Here is a 16,857-nt window from a genome sequence, read left to right as displayed (position 1 = left end):
ATGAGCTGCAGAGAAAACAGGTCATTGAAACATTTAAAAGAGGCAGATAAGAGACAAAGATGTCATCCAGGGTGGGCTGGGTAGGCTAGGAAAGGCCAGGGTCATCCAGAAAAGGAGAATAAAGCCTAGGAGGAAAGACAAAGAAACTGCTGCAAGCTGGTCATGAGATTTCTGCACTGTGCAAAAGAACAGTCAATTATGAAATGCACAGTCAGTCATGTGAATGTTCCCTTAATGCATCCAAGAACTATTGACTGCTGTGGTTGTTCCTTATTAGGTCACACAAAAGGTACAAATGAGGTACATGTTCATGTGATAATCAGGACACGTACATTCAGATCATGTTAACTGCCTGCTCATAGTGAACATGGAGGAGAGAGAACATATGCCAATGATTTGTTCCCTTCAGTGCTTCACATCACACCGCTTCAGGGCAGCTTTAAGGCGGGTGCTTCATCCCCAGGGCTCTTCCTTTATCTGTAATACTGGACACCAACTTGCTTCATCATCTAAATCACTCACTTTTCTAAGGTGATCCATTTGTCAATACCCGTCCCATAGTATTACATCCATAAATTGTGCCCCTTTCACTCTTGTTGGATCGACTAGTCTACTGGATGGTGTGATTAGGATGGCTTCTGAATGCTGTTCCCAGTTTGTCTTTTAACTGCTCTCCAGGCCACTTCAGGTTTTCTTTCTTTAAATTTTTTTCCACTCACTGCTAGAGATGGAAATAGTGGAACAGAGTCTGAGTCAGTCACACAGTCAGTCGCTTGTTTAATAAAAGTCCTACTGAACCAAATCTTCAAAGGCAAAAGCCACAAACATGCAGTCCCCATGTTGAATTTAGCATACAGGCTGTTTTATTTGGTCTACAGAGTGCTTTACAATTTACGGATTTCCACACAAAAATCCAGACTTCAGGTGTCTCTTATAAATCAGAGGGCCTAGTAATATTGGATTCTCAATCTCACATGGCAGCAATCAGCTAGGGTTGAGTCAGTACAGCTAGTACTCTCCAATTTTTCCTTCAGTTGTTGCTTCACACACCTGGTCCACCTCACACTGTGGACATGACCTGCCTGGCTGCTGGAAGCATTTGAGTATTATTTTTGTTTTGTTTTGTTTGAGTTGGAGTTACTCTCTTGTTGCCCAGGCTGGAGTGCAATGGCACAATCTCGGCTCACCACAACCTCCAACTCCCAGGTTCAAGCAATTCTCCTGCCTCAGCCTCCCAAGTAGCTGGGACCACAGGCATTCGCCACCACGCCTGGCTAATTTTATATTTTTCTTAGTAGAGATGGGGTTTCTCCATGTTGGTCAGGCTGGTCTCAAACTCCCAACCTCAGGTGATCCGCCCATCCCGGTCTCCCAAAGTGGTGGGATTACAGGCGTGAGCCACCGTGCCTGGCCGCATTTGAGTATTGTTAGCGGCTACCTCTGCTGATTTGGTTTCAGACATCAGTAGTAAATCGTTTTCCTTTTAGAATCAGAAATAGTTATTCCAAAAGACAAAACAATGGATTGGTATACCAACATTTTAAATAAAAGGTTATTTCAGAGATTCTTAGGCCTGAGCTCTGGAGTCACCAACTTTGGAATCCTCCTTGAGTTGCATCTCTTCTTCTGGCCTAGTACCCAGGATTAAGGGACAGCAAACAGAGTAACAGTGGGGCAGAGTAGGAAAAGTGTAACTAGGACTTATAAGATGGGGATTCTAGTCCTAGCTGTGCAATTCACCAGCTTATATCCTAGGGTCATTGTTTTAAACTCTCTCAGCCAAGATTAATAATAATAATACTACATTTGCTGACAATTCCATAAAGTTCTTGTAACAGAATGAGATCCCAGAAGTGAAAGTGCTTTGAAATTATAAGATGCTCTACAAACACAAAGTTGTCTTATTTGTACCCAATCAAAACACTTACCAATCAAATAAGCACTCAGCCAAAGCAAGCTACAAATAATTTTTGAATACCTATCATATACTCAGCACTTATAGATGTAGATATTAATTAGTCAACAAATCCATTCCCTTAAGGAGCTTACAGGATGGTTGAAAAAATAAACAATGGAAAAAATAAGTGATACTAATCATAACCTAAATGCCAAATAAGTATTTTATTTCAACTGTTGATGTTATAGGCATTAGCAGGAGGCCAATAGAGCCAGATACTCACTCAATTATTCACTTAGCTTTCCTAAAGTTTGTTCTGTGGAAACTTAACATCCTCAGATGCTTTGGGGGCTGGGAATATTATGTGTTCATACAAGTTTAGGAAATGTCCTAAAAATATATCCCATTCCCCCACCGCTTTTTTTTTTTGAGATGGAGTCTCACTCTGTAACCCAGGCTAGAGTGCAGTGGCCTGATCTCAGTTCCCTGTAACCTCCACCTCCCGAGTTCAAGTTTTTCTCTTGCCTCTGCCTCCCAAGTAGCTGGGACTACAGGTGCACACCACCACAGCCAGCTAATTTTTGTATTTTTAGTAGAGATGGGGTTTCATCATGTTGGTCAGGCTAGTCTTGAACTCCTGACCTCAAGCAATCCACCCACCTCAGCCTCTCAAAGTTCTAGGATTACTGGCATGAGCCACCACACCTGGGCTCCAACCCCCTTTTAGAAAATTAGAGTACACATTAGATATTATGGGCACTAAGGTGCCCTGAGATACCCTGCAAAAAAGATGACTGTTTAACTTTGACCTGGCAGATACACAAATAACTACAGAAACTCTCTTCTCCCTTCCCCACTCTTCTCTCTTCCTCTCCTTTCTTCCTCTCCTCTCCTTTCCTCTTCTTTCTCTCTTGGAAATCTCTCTCTTAACATTTCTTAGAATCAGGGTTCCACAAAATACAATTTGAGAAGCACTATTCTAGTGAATAACTCTCTTTTCACAGGTTCCAAAGGAGAACACACTTCTGTCCCTACCTGTCTGCTTTCAGAACAACATTACAAACTTGGATCCTGAACTTCTTACTGTACACAGTAGGCACTGATTTATGTGTTGATTGATCTTTACCAACTGAGCCAACATTGTTTAACTAGACATTCATCCATTGCTTCACTTCCACTAGCTTGAAATCATAGTCATAACTGCAATGAACATCATTGGAATATTCTCAATATAAATTATCATACTAGTAGGGCCATATGGCATCAAAACACAAAATTCAGTAACAATTTACCATGTTTCATGCATTCTTAATTTTTCTGGAGCCTCACTTTTCCTTGCTTTTTTCCTGGCACCATACCACATGCAGATTCAATTATTGGCCCTACTCCTAACGATCTTAACTAAAGTGCTAAGAGCTAAGGACTAAGTTCAAAATGCCAAGTGTGCTTTTTTTATGGATATCTAAATTCTAATAGGGAATTATTGAAGACCAAATTGTGAATGTCCAAAAAGGATATTATAGTGGAATGATAGACATCGTGTCCAATATTTTGGTTTATGTTCTCTAGGTATGCAATACACATTTGGTGAGTGAAATCATGCAGTTTTTTGCCTGGTGGTGATTAAAAAGCTACATCTGAGAATTGGAAAGACCTAGGTTTATATCTGTGTTCTGCCATTTCCTGAGTATGTGACTTTGGGTACATCATTTCACCTAAGTTTTAGTTTATTTCTCTATAAATTGGGACAATAATAGTAACCACCATAGGGGCCCAGGCAGAAAATTCCCCTTGGCCCTCTGAAGATTTGCTGAAAAATCAACTCACAAAAGCAGAATAATTGGAGAAAAGCATATACATTTATCTAACATGTATACACTGTATACACAGGAGCCTTCAGAATGAAGACCCAAAGATACAGGGAAAATTGCCCATTTTTATGCTTAGGTTCAGCAAAGAATGGACAGCCATGTAGGCATATGATTTGATAAAAAGACTATGATCTAATGCTAATGAGCTGAGTGGGGAAAACCAGCAAGGCCTGTCTGTCTAGATTCTTCTGGGCTTCTCTGAGCACACATTCCTTCCAGGACCCTCTCTGGAATGGGGACCTTATGACCTATAGTTAAACAAGGTAGGTCAAATAACTTCTTTGTGGCCAGTTTTCACACAGAGAAGTGGAGAGAAAGTTAGAGTAATATTTTTAGGTTTTATGGCTGGCTTTGCAGGAAAGGGGTTCTGGTTTCTATGACCTGCTTTGGGGAAGAGGGATTCCAGTTTCTATGGCTAGCCTCCGGGGAGGGTGGGGAGAATGGGACTGAGAGACAGGAGGGCAGGAAAAGGTCAAAGACAAACTTGCTTATGAGTCCTTCATTTTGAAGTATTGTTTTCTGAGCCCCAACACCACCCTCATATGTTGGTTGTGAGGACTAAATGAGAAAATGAATGAAAATCTCTAAACGCAATGTATGTTGCACAGTGAGCTCTCAATAGATAAAAGCTCTCTGGGAGCCCTTTTTATGATTATTATGGAGTTGCTGGCTTAGAGATTACATCTGTTATATTATCTTTATTCAGTCAAAATCCCCGCTACTATTTATTTCACCAACTCTCCACCATATTGCTATGTTCCACTGTTTTTTTCTAAACTCACCCTCCCCTGCAAAATCTCAGCATTAACAGTAGAAGGATAAATAAACTAAGAGCCAGGACCACAAAAAGTGTGTTTTCCAGCCTGAATGTGAAATTGCTTCCTCTGTGTGTAAATAGCTGCCATTTTCCACACCAGAGGAAAGTTTTTCTAACAAGCTATGTAATCTAAATGACACCTGCAACAAGGCACTACAATTAAACTTTGCAAAGTGGAATTAAAAGCATTTGCTAAAGCCATGCGTTTGAACATATTCACCAAAGACTGATCCCAAATCCTACTTGGTAGTTTTACCCCAAGCTTTATATCCAGATTGCTTTGCTACTATTGCTGAATAGTAATCTAGCAGCAAATCTTTGAAGTATTTTCAAGGAATAAATCCTTCTTGCCATCATATTCAAATGCCAATGGGTTAAGAGATTACCCCTAATGTGTGAAAAGTCTCCAACCAGGGACTCTAGAGCTGTCTACAATAATCAGGAGGAGAGGTGTTGTTTGCATATTCACCAGGAAACAGGTTAGTGGTTTCTTCTAAGTAGCTAATGCTCATGTCTAAAAAGCTGCATAAAAGCATGTATTTCTGAATGATTTGCCAGGTGAATGGTGAATTGCCTTCCAAATAAAGATAATTAGTTCTGGCTTCCTTCTTGTGTCCATTTTGAAGAATCCCTATAAGTAATGTCTGCCTTTGACCTTCTTTTTTTTTTATTATACTTTAAGTTTTAGGGTACATGTGCACATTGTGCAGGTTAGTTACATATGTATACATGTGCCATGCTGGTGCGCTGCACCCACTAACTCGTCATCTAGCATTAGGTATATCTCCCAATGCTATCAGTCCCCCCTCCCCCCACCCCACCACAGTCCCCAGAGTGTGATATTCCCCTTCCTGTGTCCATGTGATCTCATTGTTCAATTCCCACCTATGAGTGAGAATATGCGGTGTTTGGTTTTTTGTTCTTGCGATAGTTTACTGAGAATGATGATTTCCAATTTCATCCCTGTTTGCAGACGACATGATTGTATATCTAGAAAACCCCATTGTCTCAGCCCAAAATCTCCTTAAGCTGATAAGCAACTTCAGCAAAGTCTCAGGATACAAAATCAATGTACAAAAATCACAAGCATTCTTATACACCAACAACAGACAAACAGAGAGCCAAATCATGAGTGAACTCCCATTCACAATTGCTTCAAAGGGAATAAAATACCTAGGAATCCAACTTACAAGGGATGTGAAGGACCTCTTCAAGGAGAACTACAAACCACTGCTCGAGGAAATAAAAGAGGATACAAACAAATGGAAGAACATTCCATGCTCATGGGTAGGAAGAATCAATATCGTGAAAATGGCCATACTGCCTTTGACCTTCTTAAGGCAGACTTTCTCTTCTTATCCCTAGAGACTCTATCCCATTATGTTGCTCACTCTCTCCTACTCCTCTTCTTTTTCCATTATCACCTGTACTACAGTTCTCACCTTCTTATAACCAACTCTCCTGTCTTACTTTTTCACTTCAATTAACCCTCCGCACAAATTCAACATGAGAATAAAGAAAAAAACTTTAAAATAGCATATAGTCACCTAAAATATGCTGTGGGAAATAAAACTGTCGCTGTAGGCATCATTAGCAAATGACCTAAACATGCTACTGTGCACGTCTATTTGTTGTTAAACCCTTCCCTATGCATCTGCAGCCTTTGAAGGAATAAAAAGAAATTTCCACAATAATATAACAAAAGTCTGCTACGATTTATATAATAAAAGTGTTCCAGAAAAGTTGCATTTAAATCAAATCCTGTTTTAATGCAGAAAGAAAGCTAACTATCTAAAGAAATACTATGACATATATGGAGAAATTATTTCATTAAAGCAAATGATAACCTTCTAGTTTATCAGTTTTGAATATCTGGATCTTTTTATATTTGACCTTCTTAAAGCAAATAGCACCTATGTACCTTTAAGAAACACTTGTTTTACTGAAGTTATATTTCTCAGAATCATAAATTTAAAAAGAATAGTCAGAAAATAAGCTTTAGAAATTTGACAATCTTTCAAAATTTGCATAAGGGAAATACACCATTTAAAGAACCTCTATTTACATAATTTTGTAATTAACCACCTCTATTCATGTCATATTGAAATTCTTATCCCATGCTAAACCCAAAACAAGTATGAGTGGTTACTCTTTAAATAATCCTAGCCTTATATTTTGAATTATGAGAAGACAATCTGCTTGTTAATTGTTTTCATATTATTGAGCATACAAAGCATGGTATAAGTTATATAATGTTCCAAAAAAGAATAAACCTTCACAGAGCAAACTCTTGAACTTCCATACCAAGTAGCCATTTTGTTTCTACATCAAGCATAACATTTGAACTGTGTGAATAAATACACAAATATGATACTTTCTTATATGAATGACGACCACTGACCCAAGGATAATCATAAACAAATTCTGAATTATCTTTTCCAGCTCCTAGCTTGTTGCCTGGCATGTAACATGTACTCAGTAAATATTTATTTAAGTGGTAAGTGAATAAATGATTGCTTTCCCTAGTTGAAGTCGCTTTTACCCACACACTACCTTGACACATTTTCCTTGGTTACCATGATCTCTATTTTCATGGCAGTTCCTAGAAATTTAAAGGAAACAAATTGGGGCCTATAAAAATCAGTGTGTGTGTGTGCATGTGTGAACTAACATACTCACAAAATAATCAAACCTATGACTTTGACTTGTTAGCACCATTCTCTTCTCTAGTGTCTCTCAAAAACATGATCCTTGGAAAGCATAAAACAGAATCACCTGGACAAAAAGGTAAATTCCTAGTCTTACTGATGTACTAAATTAGAATCTAAGGGAGAAATCTGAGGATCTGTATTTAGAGATCTTCATCTTCATCCTATCTGGGTCCCTTTACATGATTCTGATGCACATTAAATTTTGAGATCCTCTGCGAGGTATTCAAGTGAAATTTTAGATCTGTAGTTAAAACAAGTAAACTAACATCTTATAAAATATACAAAATAAGTAGCTCTAGCTCTCTTTTCCAGAATCTAAAATGAAATGAAAGAAGCAAATGCGTTGTCAACAGAACCCATTTGATGTGAGTGAAAAGGAGGTTTCGTATTTACTTTATTCTGGTTCAACTTGAAACTCAAGCCAAATACTATAATGTTACAAGATTCAGCAAATGATCCAAAATGGAAGTGCTCTGCAAGCCTCTCATAAGGATTAGTGACTGTGGCCAAAGTGATGATGCTGCGACGCTTTGTGCATGGTCAGGTCACTTATTAATAATGTACAACTGCCCATGATTGAATTTTCTGCCATAAATGAGGCAGGGAAGTCTAGTTCATGTTGAAGAAATCAGAAACTAATCAAAAGCAGATCTTTGCTATTTGGAATTGGCCCAATATGGTAGTTATTTTGAAAGCTCATAGGGAAAAGAACATGCAATTCTAATCAAAAGAATTTTTAAACTTTCATAGAAGGCACTCTACAAAATCAAACTAAGAAGTAAAACTATCATTTATTAGTACAGAGAGTGAAGTAATATATATGTATATTATATATTAGTTTATTAAAAATATATATTTTGTGTTCCCTGTGCTAACATTTAGAATTTTGAAAAAGACAAAAACAATGAATCTCAAGGATCAAAAACCAAATTAAATATATGGGTTGTAGCAATCAACTTAACTCAGCAAGTATTAATTAGTTGACTGATTTTAACACTATCTCAAAAAGGTCATCCAGACCTTTTTGAACCTTTTTAAACAAAAATAAAATAGAAGAAAAAATGTATTGCTAACATTAGAAAGAGTATGTTATAAATTAACCAACTGGCTGATGTTGGCATTAGATGGTTAAACAAGTAATGCCCAAGTACATTAATCATAAGTCAATTAATGCAATCAATATTGCAATTGTCTAGGTAATTTTGAAGTTTATCATGGCTTGGATATTATCCACAATAGAAATATGTATGTGTATACATACAAACACACACACACATACTTTTTTAATTGTTTATATTTAAGGTTATACAACAAGATGTTTTTTGTTTATACATATACATAGCAAACTGATTACCACAGTCAAACAAATTAGCATATCAATCTCCTCATATGTTTATTTTTGTGGTAAGAGCACCTAAAATTTATCTCTTAGCAAATTTTCAACATGCAATATTATATTTATTTTTCATTTTTGAGACAGAGTCTTGCTCTGTTGCCTAGGCTGGAGTGAAGTGGCGTGATTTCAGCTCACTGCAAACTCTGCCTCCTGTGTCAAGCAACTCTCCTGTCTCAGCCTCCCTAGTAGCTGGGATTATCGGCACATGCCACCACGCCTGGCTAATTTTTTTTTTTTTTTTAGTAGAGACAGGGTTTCCCCATGTTGGTCAGGCTGGTCTCAAACTCCTGACCTCAAGTGATCCACCTGCCTTGGCCTCCCAAAGTGCTGGGATTGATTACAGGCATGAACCACTGCGCTGGCCTCAGCATACAACATTATTAACTACATGCTGTACATTAAATCACTAGACTTATTCATCCTATATAACTGCAACTTTGTATGCACCTTTTGACCTACACTCCTTATTCCCCACTCTCTGTCCCGTATCCATTTTTCTACTCTCTTTTGCAACACATTCAACTTTTTTTTAGGTTCCATATATGAGATTAAAATACACATGACAGATATAATAATAGGAAAATTAGTCAAGATTTGTTTGTGAGCAATAGTAAGTAGATTTTTTTGTCATACAGTTTCTCAGGTTCCATCACATTCATTGTAAGGGATATCTTTTTGGTATTAGATTCTGTCTTATGTCTCTGAAAATTACTTCCTAAAATTCTCTAACAAGTAAGAATATTCTGAGTTTATCCTTCCACTAGTTTACATTTTGTTTGTACTTCAGATTTAAAACACACATGCATGTTCTTCATTTGGAGTTGCTCTAAGAATCACTAGAAGCTCACAATAACATCACTCACTTATGGAGAATTTTGTATAAATGATATTTTGGATGCAGTCTAAGAAGATTTCATTCCAAAAATCTAACAGATTCTCATTCTAAAATCAGCCTTCACCTACAAGGAGATTCCACAAATGGGTTAAGTCAACATTCTAGATTGGCTCCACTATATATTTTCTGAGATGTTTAGTAATAATGATACCTTGAAGAGTTCAGAACCTTTCATAAAGACAGAGAACAGACACACAGCAACTAGGCCCTTGTTCTCTAAACTCTTTTTTCATATTCCATATATTGCTTTTACTCAGTACAACTTATTAATAGCAAGTTTCTCAACTATTTGATTTGCAGGCAATTCTAAATTCACAGAAAGTTGACTCTTTGAACAAAACTCTTGCTTCCCAAACCAAATTATACTTAAAATCTCATTTGCCGTAATTTTGTAGAACTGATTCCTACCTGTAACTTTCAATTCAGTTGTTCGTCTTACAAGTTTTCCTTCATATTTAAGTTCACATGTGTAATTTCCTCCATCTTCTTCTTGAACTTCTTGGATCAGAAGAGCATTTCCTTTCTGTATTATTATGCTTCTCCACATTTTTGGCTTGCATTCCTGCAGATAAAATATTTGCAAGTAAGCAAAAAATAGAATTTCACAGACTACATCTCAGTACCAGCAAGTTAGTACTTTTACTTTTTTGTATTATTCTCTTTCGTTTTCAAAATATGTAACTAAGGAGTTAAGTCAATGACCAAGAAAAATCACAAATGTGTCCTATTGTATCCAATTCTAATATCACAACTACTGCACTACAAACCACTTCAAAGGCCTGACCCCAAGAGCAAGAAGTCTTTAGAGGCATTCTGAAAAAAATAAATAGAATAGCATAGAGGCTCCCCAATTACAAGAGAGGTATAGCAGAACCTTAACAGTCACTAAATATTATTATAATGTCCTGGTTCCTTCTATTTGACAAGGATATTTCCTAAGAGTCCTAAGAGGACATGGTTCACTTAGCCACTTAGTATACTCCAGGGGAGTCTTAGGCATTATTAATCTTTCATAATAGGATTTTATATTGGCAATGAAGTTTACAATTGTTTCATTAATTACTCCTTATTATAAAAACTAATACTAGTACTCCAGAATCTCCCTTCTTGTAATCAAGAAATCCATGTGGGGGTAGAGAGGGAAGGAATATAAAAAATTAAGGACTTCTCTAGAAACATAGCTAGGTAAAATGAGGACACGCTTTGTTATAGTAACAGCCTGGAGAAATCATCCACTTACTTTCTGAGTTCAGTGATATATAACCACAGAACAAGTTTTGGGTTTTGAAGCCAATTATCTTACTCTCCTGATAGGAATGTGAGGGAATCTTGCTACCAAGATTGGACTTCTCTAGAAAGGAATGTTTAATACTTTTCCAGAAAGTGACAAGGATATAACAATATCCAAGTATGTAAGAATATTCAGGCAATTATCTTTGTCTTTTAGGAATTTTTTTTCAGACTACTTATTAGATATTGCCCCATTCTGGCTATCATTCGCCTCAAATGTTCTACCAAAGTGGTAGCCGAATGCTGTACAAACATCAGTCAAGGCGTAGGGGATAGCTGTTAGGGAGTGCTGAATATTCAAGGCAAAAAATATTTTATTGCCAGGCACGGTGGCTCACGCCTGTAATCCCAGCACTTTGGGAGGCTGAGGCAGGCGGATCACTTGAGGTCAGGAGTTTGAGACCAGCCTGGCCAACATGGTAAAACCCTGTCTCTACTAAAAATACAAAAATTAGCTGGGCGTGGTGTCATGTGCCTGTAATCCCAGCTACTTGAGAGGCTGAGGCAGAAGAATCTCTTGAATCCAGGAGGCAGAGTTTGCAGTGAGCCGAGATCACGCCACTGCACTCTATTCTGGGTGACAAGAATGAGACTCTGTCTCAAAAAAAAAAAAAGTATTTTATCATGTAAATTCTGTCAGTTAAGGCAATAAATAAATTGATTTTGAGGTAGATGATGTGAACAATAGTTGAGAGCACTTTTTACTTTCCCCACTATGGTGTATACAACATCTGCATCTACCACTCCTCACCCCTGCCTCCATACGCATATCTTAAACATTCATGTAAAGTTAGAATCTGTGCTGACTCTCAATCCCCAGCTGTGAGTGCTTGTGTGTTTGTGTTCATGTGTATGTGTGTGTACGTGTGTGTGTGTGTAAGTGATCTGAGACAGCGAGTACCCATTTTTTTCATAACATTTTTTTTCTTTCATGTTAGCAGGAATTTTGACAACAAAACACACAAACTGGTGCTTTAATTCACAAGTATAATATTTAAGAGATATGCTTGCTTTATGTTCAATACAACTACCCACACACATTGTCAGAGAGTAAATAAAAGTAATACTATTGAGAGCATGTAGATATAAGGCTGCTTCACTCCCTAGGGTCTTCCTGAAGAACAGTTAAGGGCCTGTCTGAAATTATATTACATACCATGTCTGGCAAGGTTTATCACCTATCTGAGATTTGCTTCTGAGTTAAACCTTGGGATATAAGGTTTCTGGGAAAATGAAGAAGAAAGTCTGAACACAGAGAAAAAGAAACAGCCCAGCTGCCACTGCCGTCATACAATAATAATCCACAATTATTTTCGCATTGTTTCCAACTCTGATAGCCTCAGATTTCTAAAGAATCATTCTGAAGGTCATTAAACAAAAATATGGTCCCTCTGGGCATTTTGAGAGGAAAGGAAAATGAAAACTGAGCTGCTGCGCTTTCACACAACAGTGGTGGGGGTGGGCAAATAAGCCCACACACTCATTCAAAGACAAATGGTGTCATTTTCTTATGTCATTTTAGGGAAAGTCCATATGCAATTAATTCTAACAATTTTCATTTTCTCTGCTCACTGTTTTGCTTTTTTTCCCCAGGAAGTAAAAACTAAAGAGTGTATAGGAATTATAAAATAACTCCTGATGAAGAACAGCTTGGAATCTTTATATGTTCTTTGGGAATGATCGAGATAGCCCTATGTGTTTTCCAAGCTGCCATCTAGCCTTATAAAAGGTTCTTTGTATCCAATAGAGGATCTTTATTTTTTTTTAACTGTGGCATAAGAAAATGTTGTCTTCAGGTCACCAACATCCCTCTAGAGACAATGTAGTGTAGATGAAAAGGCAAACTGGCTTTAGGGTAAGACATCTCTAGGTTAAAATGTGGGGCTCCCCCAAGTTCTGTCATCTTCAGCAAATTTGCTTATGGGAATAATATTCACTACCATGTGAGCAGCCAGAATCCAGAGGCTTGCAGGTTTATTCATTACATTCTTGTTGGGCAGCACCATAAGGAGTGGTCATACAACACAGACAATTTCTAAAGGTTCCCATCCTGCCTCCACTAATACGCCTTTTGCAAAGTTACTTTGTTGGCTATTCTACCTCAGTCTGGATGCCTATATAGACTCTCAGAAGTCTTCCAGGCTCTTGGTTCCATTATTGGCACTCTTTCTCCCAGTAAGCTGCTGGCTGCTAGGCTTACTGCTGTCATTACTTCTCTCCTGCTCACTAACTTCCTAATGAACAGACAGTATTGCCATATGTATTAGTCTGTTCTCATGCTGCTATGAAGAAATACCCAAGACTGGGTAATTAATAAAGAAAAGAGGCTTAATTGACTCACAGTTCTGCATGGCTGGGGATGCTTCAGGAAACTTACAATCATGGAGGAAGGCACCTCTTCACAGGGTGGCAGGAGAGAGAATGAGTGCCCAGCAAAAGGAGAAGCCCCTTATAAAACCATCAGATCTCCTGAGAACTCACTCACTATCATGAGAACAGGATGGGGGAAACCATCCCCATGATTCAATTATCTCCACCTGGTCCCTCCCATGACACATGGGGATTATGGGAACTACAATTCAAGATGAGATCTGAGTACAGACACAGCCAAAGAATATCACCATACCCCACTGCTCCAGCTGTGTTTAATTATAGCAACATACTAGGCAAAGAATTTGAAGTGCATAGGTCAAGTCTCAAGATGGTTGTCTGAGGCCAGGACAAACCACCAAAGGCTCAAATTTGAGCAGTTCCCTAATACTGAACTCACTGTGTAATCCCCCTACTATTTATTGTCCCTGGGACTATTAAACCTGAACAACTTGAAAATTTTGCTGAGAGCCCGTCTTGCTAGAGTTGCTTAAGTTCAACAATCAGATCCGTTTTGTGGCCTTGCTATCCCCTCATAGAGTAGTTTGTTGCAGGACATCCTTACCCAGTCAACATAATGTCAACACTTAAAGCCCAGCTTTTTTCCTCTCCCTCCCCACCTTCCTAGGTGGCAAATGTCCCGTGCCAGTAGTTGCTGGGTTGAAAGCCCAGAATGCACAACTGAGATATCTGTTTACTAAGAACCCTAAAGTAACCTGTTGCCAGCTACATTTGGATCTTGGAGTTTCCAACCTGAAATATTTACCACTGTATTCATAGTCTACTTCTGAGATATCATCATCATACCTACAGGTGTTTTTTAAATCCATTTGATTTGGTGGTTGTGGTTACTTTAGTGCCATTCAGAGCACATGATTCATTCTTCATGGCAAGAACATCAGGAAGATTGATTTCAATATTTCTTCTGATTCTGAGGTTTAAGCACAAAGCAGCTATGCGACCATAAACTAACCATGTAACCTCTAGTCCTCAAACACCTTTGTTTGAATACCCAACATCCACCCCTTAGGCAACTTTTCTCCTTTCCCCTGGAGACTGTATTCTCCCACAGGGCATCTAAACATCTGCTTAAAAATCTTTAGGGGGCCAGGCGCAGTGACTCATGCCTGTAATCCTAGCACTTTGGGAGGCCGAGGCGGGTGGATCACATGAGGTCAGGAGTTCGAGACCAGCCTGATCAACATGGAGAAACACCGTCTCTACTAAAAATACAAAATTACCTGGGCGTGGTGGTGCATGCCTGTAAACCCAGCTACTCGGGAGGCTGAGGCAGGAGAATCGCTTGAACCCAGGAGGCAGAGGTTGCAATGAGCCAAGATTGCACCATTGCACTCCAGCCTGGGCAACAAGAGCGAAACTCCATCTCAAAAGAAAAAAAAAAATCTTTAGGGAAACTGAACTGTCTGCAGTTTAAAGATGGAAGAGACAATTAGGAGTACGATTGCAAATTAGGTATGAACCTTGTCCTTTTCAGCCTATCTCTACTCCAAAGGCCTAGGATAACCAACTACAAGGAGCCCTTCCCTTCCAAGCTCTGTTTCTCCAACTTTCTATCTTCACAGTATTAATGTTGATATTGGTAGCCCACAGTGGTTAAGAATATAAGTTCTAGACTAAACACTTTGATTAGAATTCCAAGTAGTATGTTTTTGAGCATGCTACTAAATCAATCTAAGCTTCAGTTGCTTCACCTATTTAAAAAAAACAGGTGGTGATAATATTTACCAATTGGGGTGATTATAAAGATTAACTGAGGTGATATATGTAAATGCCCTGTAATATAGGGCATCACATGCTAAAACTACTCAATAAATATTAACTATTAGTCTATTATTTTTATTACTTTTAGTACTTTGCTTTCAGGTTATACATGTGTTATGATATATTAATGATCATCAGGAGTTAATGTGACTCAATTTTCTATAGCAGTCTAGAGACAACACTTTAACCTAAAGTTATCATTCTAAGGCTGAGATTAACTTCTGGTTTCTAGTCTGACATGTAAAGGGCTTAGAAGTCATCAATACTATCCTCACAACAAGAAAAAAGCCAAACAAACTGAACATCAATAACCATTTTCAGATCCATCAGATAACTGAGGTCACAAAGAAAACTACTACCCCAAAAACTGGAGAGACAGGAGAATATAGAGAATCACAGCTCACTGGGAGCAGAAGCAGCTGCACGAGCCAGCAACTGGTATGAACTCTTTACCCTTTTCTAGCTTTTGACATGGAGAAGGAAACTATCCAACTCTAGCTCCTTTTAGCCTTTGAAGTGGAAGAAGAAAAAAAGCCAGCTCTAGCCCTTCTAGCCTTCCTGTCTCAAGTAGTGGGTGGGAGAGAAGCTGAGAAGCACTTGTGGTCACAGTTCAGAGACAAGGTTCACTAAAACACTGAGACCTAGTCATAATATTATATAGCACTTACTCTCACCCTGTATCTTACCAACACATCAATTAGGACTCCTGTCTAATAATAGGGCATCACAGTTTAAAGAACTGCACAACTCACATCTTATTTAAGAAGTCTCTAGGGAAACCCAAAGACAATAGAAGAGTGAAAAACAAGGACACCAGAAAGAACTGTAGCCTCTAACACCAACAGTTATAGAAAACAGTAAAAACAGCCTTACTCTTAGCCAGAAAAATCTAAAAACCTCACACTAAAGGCCTATTTATCTCAGTTCCTTTTTACCCAGTCAGTACATCATGTCTGGGTTTCAACGAAAAATTACAAGGTACACCAACTCAAAAAACAAAACAAACAAACAAACAAACAAACAAACAAAAAAACAGCCTGAAGAGAGAGCAAGCATCAGAAATAGACTAAGATATGAAGTGGCCAGGATGGCTGACTAGAAGCAGCTAGCATGTGTGGCCCATAGAGGAAAAGAAGGGGCGAGTAAATACAATACCTTCAACTGAAACATCCAGGTACTCACATTGGGACTAATCAAGAAAACAACTTGACCTGTGGAGAATGAAGAAAAGCAAGACAGGATGACGGCCCACCTGGAAGCAACATGGAGCCAGGAGAACCTCCCCTGTGCAGAGAAGTGGTGAGTGAATGTGTGACCACAGGAAACCACCTTCTCCCACGGATCTTTGCAACCCTCAGATCAGCAGATCTCCATATGAACCCACTCCACCAGGGCCTTCAGTCTAACAGACAGAGCTATGTGGAGCCTTGGCAGAGCAGCCACTCAAGCATGTGAGGAGACCCTGGAGTCTTATATACTTGGGCTTTCCAGAAAGGGTAGCTGCAGCTCTGGCAAAGTGGAAGGTTAGACCTCCAAACATACCCCTAGGAAAGAGGCTGAACCCAGGGGGCTGAGCAGCAATAGCCTTCAGGCCCCATGTCCACAGCACCTAACAGAACAAGACTTGGAATTCCAGCTAGCCACCGGTAGGGGCATTGCACCTCCCTAAAAAGGAGCTCCCAGGGCCGGGGGCAGGGGGAATCTTTGCTGTTTGGGTGACTTAGCCATTCCAGCCTTCAGGCTTTGGAGAGTCTAAGCTGACCAGTGGTGGAAGGGATCTCCCAGCACAGCACAGCTGCTCTACCAAAACGTGGCTAGACTGCTTCTT

General features: G+C 38.9%; 1 protein-coding gene across 2 annotated transcripts in view; it reads right to left on the bottom strand.

Moving 5' to 3' along the window:
* Positions 1-16,857, bottom strand: part of IL1RAPL2 (interleukin 1 receptor accessory protein like 2) — a 1,201,631-nt gene that overhangs the window by 490,293 nt on the left and 694,481 nt on the right. For both annotated transcript variants that reach the window (NM_017416.2, XM_011530905.3), the window contains one exon: positions 9,996-10,149. In NM_017416.2, the coding sequence (NP_059112.1) occupies positions 9,996-10,149 (154 nt within the window). The remainder of the gene's footprint in view (positions 1-9,995; positions 10,150-16,857) is intronic.

Source organism: Homo sapiens, chromosome X, assembly GCF_000001405.40.
Source record: "Homo sapiens chromosome X, GRCh38.p14 Primary Assembly".
Classification (NCBI taxonomy): domain Eukaryota; kingdom Metazoa; phylum Chordata; class Mammalia; order Primates; family Hominidae; genus Homo; species Homo sapiens.
Note: the sequence above shows the minus strand (reverse complement) of the source record. Positions and strands in the feature narration are given on the sequence as shown.